Here is a 15,649-nt window from a genome sequence, read left to right as displayed (position 1 = left end):
TCTTATCCACCTCTAGGCATTGTCAGTTTTTTAATTTATCACATGTGTAGATATCTATCCTTTTAGTTTTATTAGGCATTCTTTTGAAGAATAATTATATTGAGCATTTGTATGGGCTCTGTGGCTATTTGTATATCTTGTTTTTTGAAGTGTGTGTTCAAACCTTTGACCATCTTTTAATTATGTGTCTTCCCTTTTTATATAAGAGATATATATTTATTCTGGATACAAGCTCTTTATTAGGTATATATTTTGTAAATATGTTAGCCTAGCATGTGAATCACCTTTCCATTTCATTAATCATTCCTTTTTATATAAATTTTTGAGCTATAATTTTATATCATAAAATCTGTACTTTTTATTTATATAGTCCAGTGATTTTTAGTATTTTCACAGAGTTCTACACCCATCAAATTGCCTAACTTTTTAAAAGCAGAAGTTTTTAATTTTGACATAGTTCAATTTATCATTTTTTTCTTTTTATGATTCATGTTTTCTGTCTCCTGTCTAATAAGTCTTTGTCTACTCCAAGTTGAAGAAATTTTCCCCTGTGCTTTCTTTAAAATGTGTACAGTTTTGACATTTTTAAGTTGCAATGTCTATATGAGGTGAAATTATGTATGTGGTGGTGTAAGGATCAACTTTAATTTTTTTTGGATGGGTATCCAATATTTCCAGAACAGTATGTTGAGAAACTATTCTCTCCTTATCAAACTACCTTGACAACTTTATTGAAAATCAATTAAGCATATATGCATAAGACTATTTCTATAATATACATTCTGTTCCATTGATTTGTATGTCTATTTTTATGATAATATCACTTAGTCAATGTCATTCTATAATATGTCTTGAAATTGTGTGCTAATATATTTTAAATGTTTTTCTATATTTCTAAATTGCTTTATTTTACATGCTTTGCATTTTCATATACATTTTATAATCAATGTGTCAATTTCTAGAGAAAATCACACCAGGATTTATATTGTGATTGTGTTTAACTATAGATCAAACTGGGGGGTAATTGCCATCCTGACTATTTTGGGTTTTTCAATCCATGAAAATTGTATACCTCTACATTTATTCAGGTCTCCTTTAATTTTTCTCAACAACTTTTATTTTGGTTTTCAGTTCACTTAACTATTTCATGGTTTTGAGAGCATTTTATAGAGCTTTTCTAATTTTGATTTTTACTTTTTGGTGCTATTCTAAACAAATACAATTGAGTTTTGTACTGTTGTAAACTTATGACCTTTTATTCTTGTATTTGTTTTATTTTATTGCAGTTTCAAGGTGTACATATGCAGGATTGTTGCATGGATAGATTGTGTACTGATGTGATTTGGACTTCCAGTGTAACCATTACCCAAATAGTGAACATTGTACCCAATAGATAACTTTTCAAACTTCATGTCCTTTCCACCCTCCCTTTTTTTGGAGTCTCTGATGTCTATCATTTCCATCTTTATGTCCGTGTGTACCCAATGTTTAGCTCTCACTTATAAGTGAAAATATGTGAGATGTGGTTTTCTGTTTCTGAGTTATTTTACTTAGGATAGTGGCCTCCAGCTCCCTCCATGCTGCTAAATAGGACACAATTTTATTCTTGTTATGGCTGCGTAGTATTCCATGGTGTATATATACATTTTTGTGTGTGTGTGTGTGTGGAAAACCAGCTCACGTTTAACTGTGACATTTTAAAATTGTACAAGTATTTTGACAACTGCCCCCCACATTTAGTCTCTTAAAATGACAGGAAAACATTAATCAATCACATGTTTAATACATTTACCCCTTCGGTTCCTATTTTCAACATCCAATATTCCTTTGAAATATGAAACAGACCTGGCAGTGGCCAACAGCACATTTCTGCTCACCGCCTCCCACCCCCAACGGAGTTGAAAAGTTCAGGTTTAGTGTTGTAGCAGTGGCACTTGTCCAGAATTGGTACCTCTCCATGGTTGGAGGACTTTAAATGTACCAGTGAAAATAGCTTTTCCCCCTTCAAGGGGAAGAAAAAATATCACTCCTCAAAACGCAGCAGATCTGGCTGTGAGATCTTTCCTCCTATCTCATCTCTTCAGGCTTTTTTTTTTTTTTTCCAGTGGAGCAGGACAGACCAAAACCTAATCTGAGTTACAAGAAACAAGAGAGTAATGGCTATAAAGGGAGTGACCAGAAGCAACTGGGACACTCCTTTACCTCCCATACCCAATGTATGTGCCTGGCAGAAAAACAACAAAAATAACAAATCCACAAAATACAAGTTGGAATTACAAAATCCTTTTATCTAAGGGTGGTAGAAGGCAGGATGGAAAGGTGGGAGGGTAGATGGCACAGAGAGAAAAACAAAGTATTCAAATCAGTCCAGGCACAGGGACTGGCAAATGCTAGAAAATAGCTGCAGTAAAACCTGTGGTCCTTTTTAGACTCATGGTGATGTTAAAAATCCACACACTGGTGTCAGGGAACATTATGCCTCACGTGCACCAGAGACAAAAATTCCAATTCCTCAGAGAGAAGGGAACACGCAGAGGGCCCTTGGCAGAGTGGGTCCTGTCTTCCTTGGCAGGGAGAGGTGAACAGGAAAAAGAGCTGCCACAGCCTCCTTCCAACCCCGCCTATCCCCTTTGGATGGCAGGCAACTCAGTGGCCTGCAGTAGCCTTCAGTTTGGCAAGAGACGGATGAGGTGAAGGGAACTTCTCTGCAGAAGTGGAGCTGCTCAGGACAGACTGCAGGTAGACTGTCTTGTGGAAGAGTCTGTTGCTTAAGAAGACCACCAAGGAGAACAGGCACAACTGGAAGAGATACGCTTTTCCAGGGGTCTTTGCTTCATTGGCGCTGATAATGAATAAAGGAAAGAGGATAGAGAAAAGGCAGCTGCTGATAGTATATGAGGACTGCATTGCTATGAGAAAAGCCAAGGGCAAACCAAACCCAAAGTAGTAAGGCCAATTGCTCTCTATGTTAGACAACTGCTGGTGTATTTCAGTTCCTTTACTGAACCAACGATATTCAAAGCAGTACAGTGACTAGAGAAGGGACATATGCAGGAGACTAACCAGCTGACCTACAAGATGGATGAGAAAGAGAATCACAAACATTCCCTGAATGGGGAAAAGAGCCTGCAGCAAAAGGTTGAAGAGCATGTCAGCAATTATTTTGCTGACACTAGGGAATGGGTGAGGCTTCCTCCCTGATACCTCAATTGTCAGGTCAGCTATATCCTGGAACCAAATGGCATTCACTACTTTGCTAAGCACAAACAAGGGGAGCACCCAAAGAGCATTGAAAATTGACCTGAGGAAGAATTCCAGCCACTACCAAACATCTCCATGTAGTGATGGATCACCAATAATTTGGGCTGTTACTGACTGAAGCACAGGAATAAATACTCGATAAAACAAAAGGAGACTGAACAACAACACTCCACCATTCCAAGCACAACGCTGGAAAATTCTACTAACAACGCATGGCTCACTCTCTTGCCTCCACTCTATATGCTGGGCTCTTCTTTGGGCCAAGACACTACTTGCCCTTCTTCAAGGCTGCTCCTCTCTCTTTTCCTGGATTTGAGCATCTAGCTTTGAGATGGTACAAACAGCCCAGGTGGAGTCTTTGATTCCTCTGGCAAGGTCCTGAAGAAAGGTTTTGACACTGTCAGCCATCTCTTCACCAGCAAACTATCAACTACACAGAGGAGAGAGAAATGTCTCCAAATCTCTCATGAAGGACCCGCAGCTCCGCCATGAAGGCTCCGGCCCAGCCCCTCACCAACCACAGGCTCGCTCCACCAGGGCGCTCACATTTTCTTAATTCAATCCACCAGTGATGGACACTTTGGTTAATTCCATGACTTTCCTATTGTGAATAGTGTTGTGATAAACATTCAAATGGAGGTGTCTTTTCTTTTTTATAAAATAGCTTTTTTCCCCCCTTGGGTAGATTCCTGGAAGTGGGATTGCTGGGTTAAATGATGGTTCTATTTTTAGTTCTTTGAGAAATCTCCATACTCTCTACCACACAGGTTGAACTAATTTACATTCCCACCAGTAGTGTAGAAGCATTTCCTTTTCGCATTCATGCCAATATCTGTTGTTTTCTGACTTTTTAATAATAATCATTTTGACTGGTGCAAGATGATATCTCATTGAGGTTTTAATTTGTATTCCTCTGATGATTAGTACTGTTGATTTTTTTTTATGTTTGTCATATATTTGCATGTCTTCTCTTGGGAGATGTCAGTTCGTGTCTTTTGCCCAGTTTTTATTGGGGTTGTTTTTTGTTTCATTGTTGAATTGTTTGAGTTTCTTGTAGATTCTGCATATTAGTCTTTTAAAAATATTTTATTTCATTCTGTAGGTTTTTTGTTTACTCTGTTGATTATTTATTTTGCTGTGCAGAAGCTTTTTAGTTAAATTAAGTCCTATATGTCTATTTTTGGTTTAGTCATATTTGCTTTTGGGATCTTAGTCATAAATTTTTGGTTTGGGGGTTTTTCTGTGTTTTTGTTGTTGTTTGTTTGTTTGTTTTTAGGTAGAGAAGAGATTTCACCATGTTGCCTGGACTAGTCTTGAACTCCTGGACTCAAGTCATCTGCCTGCCTCCGCCTCTCCAAGTGCCCAGATTATAGGCATGAGCCACCCTCTCCAGCGTAGTCATACATTATTTCCCTAGGCCAATGTCTAGAAGAGTTTTTCTGGGTTTTCTTCTAGGATTTTTATACTTTCAGGTTTTACATTTAAGTCTTTAATTTATCTTCATTTAATTTTTTATATGTTGAAAGCTAGGAATCTACTTTCATTATTCTGTATATGACTGGCTAATCTTCCCAGCACCATTTATTGAATAGAATGTACTTTCTCCATTGTTTATGTTTGTTGACTTTGTTGGACATCAGTTGGTTGTATGTATTTGGCTTTATTTCTGGGTTCTCTATTCTGTTCCATTGTTTGATGTGTCTATTTTCGTACCAGTATTGTGTCATTTTATTTACTATGGCCTAGTAGGGTAATTTGAAGTCAGATAATGTGATGCCTCTGTATTTGTTCTTTTTTAAAAAATTTCTAAAAACGGAACAAATACAGAGGCATCACATTATTTGTTCTTTTTGTAGGATTGCTTTGGCTGTTCAGGCTCTTTATGGTTTCACATGAACTTCAGAATGTTTTTCTAATTCTTGGAAAGAAGACCTTGGTAATTTAATAGGAATTGCATTGAATCTATAGATTGCTTTTAGCATGATGATTATTTTAACAATATTGATTATTTTAATCCATAACCTTGGGATTTTTTAAATTAGTTTGTATCATCTATAATTACTTTTATCAGTGTTTCATACTTTTTGTGGATATTTTTACCTCCTTTTTAAAATGTATTACCAGCTATTTTATTTTTGTAGCTTTTATAATGAATTTGAGTTGTTGATTTGCTTATCAGCTTGCATGCAAAAATCAGAAATGCCACTGATTTTTGTACATTGATTTTGTATCCTGAAACTTTACTGAAGTCATTTAACAAATCTAGGTGTCTTTAGGGTTTTCTAGGTTACAATATTTCAACTTCACTAGCTTTATTTTTTCCTATTCAGTATGACTTCAGCAGTGGGTTTGTCATATATGGCTCTTACTATTTTGAAATATGTTACTTCAGTGCCTAGTTTGTTGAGAGTTTTTATCATAAAGGAATGTCAGATTTTATCAAATGCTTTATCTGGATTTATTAAGATGATCATGTTTTTTTCTTAATTCTGCTTAAGTGGTGAATTACATTTATTGATGTGCATATGTTCAGCCATCCTTGCATTCCTGGAATAAAACTCAATTCATTGTGATGAATTATCATTCCTTGTGATGTTGGATTTTGTTTGCTAGTATTCTGTTAAGAATTTTTGCATCTATATTCATCAGGGATATTTGCTTGTAGTTATCTTCTTTGTTTTTCTGTCCTTGACTGATTTTGGCATCAAGGTAATATTGTTTTCATAGAATGAATTAGGAAGGAATACCTTCTCCTTGATTTTTTGGAATAGTTTCTGACTGTTAATCCATCTGGTCCTGGGCTTTTTTCTGTTGGAAGATTTTTTTTTTATTACTGATCTATTTCATTGCTCGTTATTAGTCTGTTCAGGATTTCTGTTTCTTCTTGGTTCAGTCTTGGGAGTTTGTATGTTTTCAGGAATTCTAGTTTGTGCACAAAGAGATAGTCATAGTGGTCTCTGATGATCTTTTGTATTTCTGTAATATCAGATGTAATGTCACCAATACCATTTTTATTGTGTTTATTTTAATCTTCTTTTTTCCTGGTTAATCTACCTATTGGTCTATCAATTTTATTTATTCTTTCAAAAAAATCAACTTTTCATGTTGTCGATACTAAGTATTATTTTTGTTTTGTTGTTGCTGTTGTCCTTTTTGTCTAAATCTCATTTTGTTCTCCTCTGATCTTTGTTATTTCTTTTCTTCTGCTAGATTTGGGCTTCATGTGTTCTCATTTTTCTACTTCCTTGAGGTGCAACATTGGGTTGCCAATTTGAGATATTTCTGTCTTTTTGATGTAGGTGTTTAATGCTTTAAATTTGTCTCAGCACTGTTTTTGCTGCCTCTCAGAGTTTTTGGTTTGTTGGGTCCCTATTTTTATTCCCTGAAATTTTTTTGACTTCTGCCTTAATTTAATTATTTACCAAAAAGTCATTCAGGAGCAAATTGTTTAGTTTGCATGTACTTGTGTACTTTTGAGAGTTCCTTTTGGCATTGACATTTGATTTTATTCCACTGAGGTCCAAGAAAATACGTGACATTATTTTGATATTTTTGAATTTATTAAAACTTTCTTTATGGTCAAGCATATGGTCAATTTTGGAGAATGATCCATGCACACGAGAAAAATGTATATTCTGCAGTTGTCGGATAGAATGCTCTGTAAATATCTGTTAGGTCCATATGGTCTAGAGTCAAGTTTAAATCCAGAGTTTCTTTATTGATATTCTGCCTCAATGATCTGTCTAATATTGTCAGTAAAATGTTGAAGTCCCTCATTATAATTGTATTGCTGTCAAACTGTTTTCTTAGGTCTAGTACTACTTGTATTATTTTTATATTGCTGGACCTGCTAAATTCTTTTACTAGTCTTTATAATACTTTTCTTTGTTTATTTAGGATTTTGTATGTAAACATTCACATTTTCTGTGAATAAATACAAATTTACATCTTTTTAATATAAATTATTCTTTCTTTTTTTGCTTATTACATTGGCTAGGAATTCTCATACAGTATTGGATTGAAGTAATGAAACCAGATGTTCTTGTTTTGCTCTGGGTATAGAAATTACTTAACCTATACATTTGATTACCCAGGAAGTGCTATACCTTTATAAACAGCCTATGTGCACTTGATAAAAAATAATTTTCTGCTATTTTTGTGTGTATCTTTTTATAAATAGTAATTATGTCAAGCCTGTTATTGTTTGCATCTTATAATTCTTATGAATTTTTTTCTACTTATTTTATCAATTACGTAAGAAGGTATGTAGAAATATTTATAGTTTGGATTTGGCTTCTTCCTTTTCTGTCTTGTCACTTTGGGCTTCCTTTTTTTTAACTTTTTATGAAATGCATATTTATATTTGACAATTAGAATTTTGTATTAATTTTTTATTATTAGCAAATGTCCATCTTTAGTTCTGTTAATATTTATTGTGCTGACGTCCACTTGTCTCATGTTAATATATTCCTTCTGCCTTTCTAATAGTTAGAGTTTTGTGCTTTTTTTCTAGGACATTACTGTTATCTGAGACTTAAGATTTATAGTGGGTTTTTTTGCAGAAAATATGTAATTGCTTTGTTTATACAAATCAGGCAATCTCTTTTTATTGAAGTGTAAATAATTTACAATCAATGTAAGTTTCATTTTGAGTGTGTTTAAGTCTACCATTGTTCTATGTGATGTCTCTTTGTTTCATTTATTTCTTGTTACTGTTTTCCTATTTTCTTGACTTCCATTGGATTAATTGAGTAATTATTAATATTCTGTTGTATCGCCTCTATTGGTTTATTAGCAATACATTTCTTTAATTTTTGTGTTTTGTGAGATATAAAATGTGCGTTTTTAACTCATCACAGTCAACCTTCAAATAATATTGTAGCACTTTATTTATATTGTGATTTTTTATAGTATGCTTTCATTTCTCCCTACTGAGTTTTGTCCTAGTTTTGTCATGTATTCTACTTATAAACTTATAAAATAAATATTGTTGGATTGAAAAGGTATAAGAGGAGTTTGAGACCCACTTATTTTGGTACTAAATGTGAGAACTGTACTTCCTCTCAGTAATGCTGTCGTGCCCTGTGCTTGTACCTAGCTTAACCCTCTTTGCTTGTTGTAATTATTCACTTATTTCTTTATCTCATCTTCTAAACATCAAGCTTTTATCAGAATGAAGTCAGTAGCTCTAAACTTTCTGAAAATCAAATAAATTACATAAACAGATTGCAAACTATTCCAAGCTCCACCTAAAATATTTCTTATTTAGGAGATCCTAGGGTAAAGCCCCAAAATATGCATCTTCACGTGCACCTCAGGAGGCTCAAATGTATATGGGTCCATATGTCACCACTGGCACAGACTAAGCCATCATCGTGCCACCTTCCCCACTAAAACACTCACCAGAGTGCTTGGAGCATTATAGGTACTCGATGCATATTGATTAAATTAATGAACTAATGAATGTCCTGACAAAAGTCTACATTGATTAATGTATTTGAAGAGACAAATTGAGCAGGTAGAGGAATGTAGAAAAGGTTAGACTGTGTGCCCTCTTATGATGCCAGTATAACTTATTCATAAATCAAGAGAGTTATAGAAAAAAATAATCTCATAATTCAACTAGCAACTTTAAGAAGGAAGAAAAAATTTGTCAAGAATGTCATTTATTTTATCCCTTAAAACAGTCCATCTATGTTTAGCATCCAAAAAGCTAATGACTAAGTAAGTAACAGTCATCACTTTATTCAGCAAATGTAACCTTTCTCCAAAATGAATGATCACTGTAAAAAATTATAGTATTTAAAGCTATTCGTCTTTTACGCAGATCAAGTAAACCACATAATTTATCTACCCTTTTTTTTTCTTTCTTTAAGGTTGAATATTACATTTTTAATGCCTAGAGTCCAAGGAAGAACCTCCCTCCAAAGCCTCAATCCCCTGAGGCACCCCAAATGTATAAGACCCAGGGATTTTGCTGGAGTATGTGCTGTCAAGGCCACAGAGCTGCTAAGATTGGGGCTGTACAGTTACTTTCAGCTCAGACACCAGGCAGAGCTGTCTTTCATCTTTAAAAGCGAATGGCCCCTGGACTTTCCCTGGTAAGATCTGGGAGAAATATGCTACATGATTTTTTTTAATGTTTGTTTATTTCTCTCTCCTTTTTAGACTTTGATGGGATATGAGAAAAAAAGGAACATGAGATTGTGCTAAAACTGCCTGTGGATGTAAGTTTTTCCTTTGTACTAGAGTTGTAGGACTACTCTTTCTTATGAGTAATATCTGTCAATTTTCTCTAAAAATATTCTGAATACCAAAGAAAGATTCAGAGGCAGAAGAACTCATGGAAACCATGCACTGGTGAAGTGTGGGCCATAGCATCAGAATCTAGAGTGAGAGACAGGACAGAGACCATATGGAGAGGGCAAAGATGCAGCTGAACAAAACCTGACCATGTGAGCATGGGAGATATAGTAAATGAAGAGAATAACTAAGAGTGTAAACAGCAAAATATTCCTAAAATAGACCTAAACTAGGAAATAGGGAGAAACTGCCTAATGTGTACCTATATATGATGGGTTAAGGTGGAAGAATAAGAGATAGGAGTGAATGAAAGAGTGGAACAGAAAGCCTTGTGGGGATCATACAGAGTAAAGAAGACATTGATCTATTTCCTAAGTCACTGGTGTATAAGCACGCAGTGCAAAGGAAATATTAAAACTAGAACCCAGGTAATTCAAAAGACAAAACCCTAGATGGGAGACTTAAGGTATTTGGGATACAGTTCCTGCCTCATAGCTTATGCAACCTACATCTTGATATTTTACTTCTCTGGGCCTCTGTTTCTTCATTTATAACATGAGGGGGCTTGGCTAGATATTTAACAGCCTGCCTGTATTGACCACTTATGCATCAGGAAATTCATTGTGGGCATTTGGTGCTCACACAAACTTTTTGGCTTATGCTATTATTATTGCCATTTTAGAGATTAAATCATGAGACCCAAAGTGATTTCCCCAACATTGTACATTGGCAGAGCCATGGTCTCAACCTAGGCAGTCTGACTCCAGAGCCTCAGTCCATCCAGCCTCACTATGCTGCCATTCTAACAAATGATCTCAGAGCAAACTGACAGGGAAGTGAATTCAAACAGGATTCAGTCATTGAGAGCTACATAGGGAAGCCTCTCAGGAGATGAATAATGAGTTGAGGTTTTGTAGGAAAGACAAATATTAATTCTGAGGGATAACAAAAGTAGGAAAGAAAATGTAATGTTATGTGTAGAAGCAGAGAGACAAAGTTAGTTATGTTTGATGCTGCAGCCAACCAGCTTGTCTACAGCTGAGGGGCAGATGCGTGACCTAATGTTGAGGACAAACACACCTAAGATGGTGATGAGGACAGAGAAAATTCCAGAAACATTGCCATAAGCTATGTATTAAATAATTCGTTAGAAGGAAAATAAGACCCATAAAGATATATGATCATTTTATTTCAATAACTAAAGGCTAGCTGTCATTCATACAAATAATTTAACATTATTGTGAGTATCTGCAGAGGACAAATCAAGAACAATGGGTGACTATTTCAAGGAGGCATAGTTCAGCTCAGAAGTAGCCAAATAAACTATCTAGCAAGGGAACAACAGCCTGTTTTGGAAGTGAGTGACTTCTTAAAATTTGTCCTTGACTGTGGACGTTGGACAATACTTCCTACATTGCTATAAAGAGGTTCACAGAATTGTATGCAGGTTGAGTTAGAAGATTTCTGATCTTTTTTCCAAAATGAAAATAATCTGATTGTCTAAGTCTGATATGAAGGTTTTAGCATTTATTTGATCTCCAAATCAAACCACAGATCTTCTTACAGATAATGATGAAAGTTCTTCTTAGAACATTATGGAGGCAATGGAGATTGAGGCATAGGCCAGAAGAGTGGAGATCTCAGCCCAAGCCTCATAATGCTCTGAGGTTAATTTGAGCTTTATTAGGTTCTTAATCTCAGATTCCCATGCACTGATGACAAGGGAAACCCCAATATGTGAGCCATCCCAAAGTCTTCACAATTGATCATGGGTAAATAGAATCTGAATACTTTTAAGTAGATTAAAATAGTTCCCTACATCTGAACAAGCATTATTTGAGTTATGTATATGAGAGACTGGGTACATCACTTTTTACTTGTTTTGTTTGTTTTTCTGAATCAGATTTTTATAAGGTATTAGCAAAGATAGGTGATTTTTAAGGACTGTTACTGTCATGTGGGTAAGCAAATGGTTTAATCTTATTGAGCCTCATTTTCTTCTTCCATAAAATGAGAGTACTTAATGAGATGAGGTCTAAATCACATTTTGATTTTACAGTATGAACTTTCTAGGCACATAGGAATACAGAGAATGGAAATAACTTACAAAAATAAAAATAAATAATTTCAGATATCTTTGAATTGGGATATGTCACTATTCATGTCCCTTGACCCTTCCCTATACTCTGATCTATGTACTTAATGTGTGTTATGTATTTTTTCAGACCAGTATTATCAGCTTTTTACAGAAACGCGAAATGAGTATCTCTAGGGTCATTTCACTTTTATCAAATTCTCTCCTTCTCAATTTCAGGTTACCTAAGTCTAATTACACTGACCAATGAAAAGACAGAACCAGAGCATGATCACCGAGTTCATCCTTATAGGCTTCTCAAACCTGGGGGATCTGCAGATCCTTCTCTTCTTTATCTTCCTATTAGTCTACCTGACCACTCTGATGGCCAACACCACCATCATGACAGTCATTCACCTGGACAGGGCTTTGCACACTCCTATGTACTTCTTCCTCTTTGTCCTTTCATGTTCTGAAACCTGCTACACCTTGGTCATTGTACCCAAAATGCTTACCAACCTGCTATCCGCAATTCCAACTATTTCTTTCTCTGGATGTGTGGTCCAGCTCTATTTATTTGTGGGCTTGGCTTGTACCAACTGTTTTCTCATTGCTGTGATGGGCTACGATCGCTATGTTGCCATCTGCAACCCCCTTAACTACACACTCATTGTCAGCTGAGCCACCTGCATGCAGCTGGTTCTAGCCTCCAGCTTTTGTGGCTTCCTGACTTCTGTGATTGTCAATATCCTGGTGTTCAGTGTGCTCCTCTGTGCCTCCAATCGGATCAACCACTTTTTCTGTGACATTTCCCCTGTCATAAAACTGGGCTGCACAGACACCAACCTGAAGGAGATGGTCATCTTTTTCCTCAGCATTCTGGTATTGCTGGTTCCCCTTGTGTTGATATTCATCTCCTACATCTTCATAGTTTCCACCATCCTCAAGATCTCCTCAGTGGAAGGACAGTGCAAAGCCTTCGCCACCTGTGCTTCCCACCTCACAGTGGTCGTCGTCCACTATGGCTGTGCTTCCTTTATCTACTTGAGGCCCACATCCCTGTACTCTTCAGATAAGGACCGGCTCGTGGCAGTGACTTATACTGTGATTACTCCACTACTCAACCCCCTTGTCTATACACTGAGAAATAAAGAAGTAAAGATGGCTCTGAGAAAGGTTCTGGGTAGATGCTTAAATTCCAAAACTGTATGAGTGGGCTGATAAGGCAGTAAATTACATTCATGAAAGTTTCCTAGGTAGCACTTCAGATCTATAAACAGATTCGTCCTTTTCTTAAGACTCCTTGACAAAAAAAAAAAAAAAAAAGAGAGAGAGAGAGAAAAGAAAAGAAATAAGGACTTTAGGTGACCTTGATTGTTTATATCAAAAAATTTTTTTCATGTTAGCCTGTATCCACTGCAAAAGTTATACCAATTGGTCTCCAGAAAATTATGTGAACATTGAAACTTTCAATAACACAAGCTACATTGTTTTTATGCATTACAAGTGTTTGCTTTGTCAGATCAAAACTACAAATGCTGCATTATCTTTTTGAGAATTCCCAGATTGTTGATACTCCTTTTACAGTGAAAGAAACAACATATTCTAGAAATAATTTACTGCAGTTATTTCTTTATTAAACTTATATATACATACACATACCTACATATGTGTGTATATATATATGAATGTATATATATATACATGTGTGTGTATATTTATATAAAGTTTAACCCACTTCCCATTTAGGAAAAAAAAAAGTGCAGTTCTGTGCCATTATGGAATTCTCAGGGCAAACGGGAAATGGGTTAAAGCAAATGGTTTAATCTTTTTGAGCCTCATTTTGTTCTTCCATAAAATGACAATATTCAATGAGATGAGCTCACATCATAGTTTGACTTTACTGTACAAACCTTCTTTGCACATAGTAATACAAAGAATATAAATAACTTGCAAAAATAAAGATAAATTACTTCAGTTATCTTTAAATTGGGGTATGTCACTATTCATGTCTCCTGATTCTTCTCTATCCCCTGATCTACATATGCATATATATACACACATATATTATATATATATATATGTTTAAAAAGAAATATATGCAGTAAATTGTTTCTAAATAATGAACATAAATTTGCTTCTGGAAAAATGAGGGGGGTGGTGGTAAAGTTCTAAGAGGTCGATGATAGAATAGAAAACACAGACTTTGGAGTCACAAAGACCTGGATTTTAATCTTTATTTGGATCATTTTCCAGCTAAGCCCCTTGTGCCAGGTTTAACTTCTTTTATTTTTAGTTATTTATTATGTAACAAAGGACCTTTAATACCTCCTCAGTGGGCCACTGCAAAATCTAGTTAAATTAATAGATGTAAAACAATTCCATGCTTGCCTGAGAGAAGGTATTGAAAAATTGCTTCTGTTTTTACTTCTCTTTCATTTTCCTTTCTTTATTCTATAATCTAGGGTTAGACTCTATGTCAGATAAAGTGTAAAAGTAAGTTGACCATTCAAGAGCCCTGCACTGTTTATGCACCTGCTACCATATGCAAGGCATTGAAACAAGCACTGTAGTGAGTACAATGAAGAGTAAAGCACAGTCCCTTCTTTTCCTCATGCCTCACTGAAAGAAAGGGTCAAATTTTAGTCACCCAATATAGGTGCATCATATACATTTGAATGAGTTTACTGTGGCTTTTGCTAAAGCTGTGTTTCAATAAAACAATGGAATTATGTTAATATCAAAAAAATTTCATTTCTTAGCTTTTCACTTGAGCAACATGCAGTTTAATAACTCTTGCTTGGGAAATAGATTATGTGGATTTAGAAGGAGGTTTCTTCACATACTTGTAAGTATGAAACAATAACTTAAACACCATACATTGAAAGTGATCAAAATAGGGTTGCTGTAAGAATTAAATGGGGAAATTCCTTAATTAACACACAGTTTGAAACGTATGTATTTGATATATTTTAATTATTATTTGTATGCTATATGTAATGTTGAGAGATAAAGAAAGACATTAGAATGCAGAATATAAGGAGAAGGAAGAAGAAAAAAAGCTAGGATTGAAAGAAGGGAGAAAAAGAAAACAAATAAATAAAAGAGTGATAGAAGCCTTAGTTGAATTTACTAAATGCTAACATGATTTTTTTTTACTACCTGGAAAAAAATGCTACCTTTAGCATTTTTTACGTGCCACACCCAATAGTTTGGCAATGAGTGTCCCAAGGATAAAACTGAGTTGCTAATGTATTCTTAGTTTATCGGAATATGATTATTAAAACCTCCTTAGGACATTTCTTTGATTAAGACAGCTAAATTAGGACACGATCATTTATTTTAGATTTTTTTTAATTCAAGGATTTGAGCTTTGTTTGTTGACACCACCCATTGATGAGAGTAGTTTGGGGTTTCTGTGATTGTTTCTACTATAGGAAAGGTTAAGCTGAAGAGAGTGAGAGGCAACTTTCATCTTCATTCCCTGTCACCTCAGAATTCCCAGAACACCACTTTTCCTCAAGTCCACCTACTCAACACACACCCAGACAAACACACATCTGTAAAATGTACTTCCCTCTGATTTGCATATGATATATATACTTCTTTGTTTGCTACAGATGTGAGAGTGTTCATAAATTTGTTTTAAACCCTGAATGCTTAGATGGCTTGCCATTTTTTTCAGAGAATAACACAACTGGTACTGAATTTGCATTTGAGGATGACCATGATGGTGATGGTGATATTAATGATAGCTACACCTGGCGTATACTAGGCTTTCAAAATCATTTTTAAATTAATAAATGAAAATAAATGTTGGGTAATCCAAGGTTCTCTAATTTATCTGTAGATAAAAATTATCACAAAACTGAATGGACTTTTTTCTGCATCTTTAATGGTTCTTTTAATACTGATTTAATTTAATAGTGATTGAAGACTTATTCTAAAGCAGGTAGGGTGTCCTGTGCCTGTTCTCCCAGTTACTCCAGAGGCTCAAACAGGAAAGGTTGC

The 15,649-nt window shown here is 35.2% G+C and overlaps 2 pseudogenes; one reads left to right on the top strand and one right to left on the bottom strand.

Moving 5' to 3' along the window:
- Positions 1-2,451: 2,451 nt before the first annotated feature.
- Positions 2,452-3,804, bottom strand: EI24P2 (EI24 pseudogene 2; annotated as a pseudogene).
- On the top strand, positions 11,906-12,852 carry OR10T1P (olfactory receptor family 10 subfamily T member 1 pseudogene; annotated as a pseudogene).

The sequence above is a fragment of the Homo sapiens genome, chromosome 1 (assembly GCF_000001405.40).
Source record: "Homo sapiens chromosome 1, GRCh38.p14 Primary Assembly".
In the NCBI taxonomy this organism is placed as follows: domain Eukaryota; kingdom Metazoa; phylum Chordata; class Mammalia; order Primates; family Hominidae; genus Homo; species Homo sapiens.
Note: the sequence above shows the minus strand (reverse complement) of the source record. Positions and strands in the feature narration are given on the sequence as shown.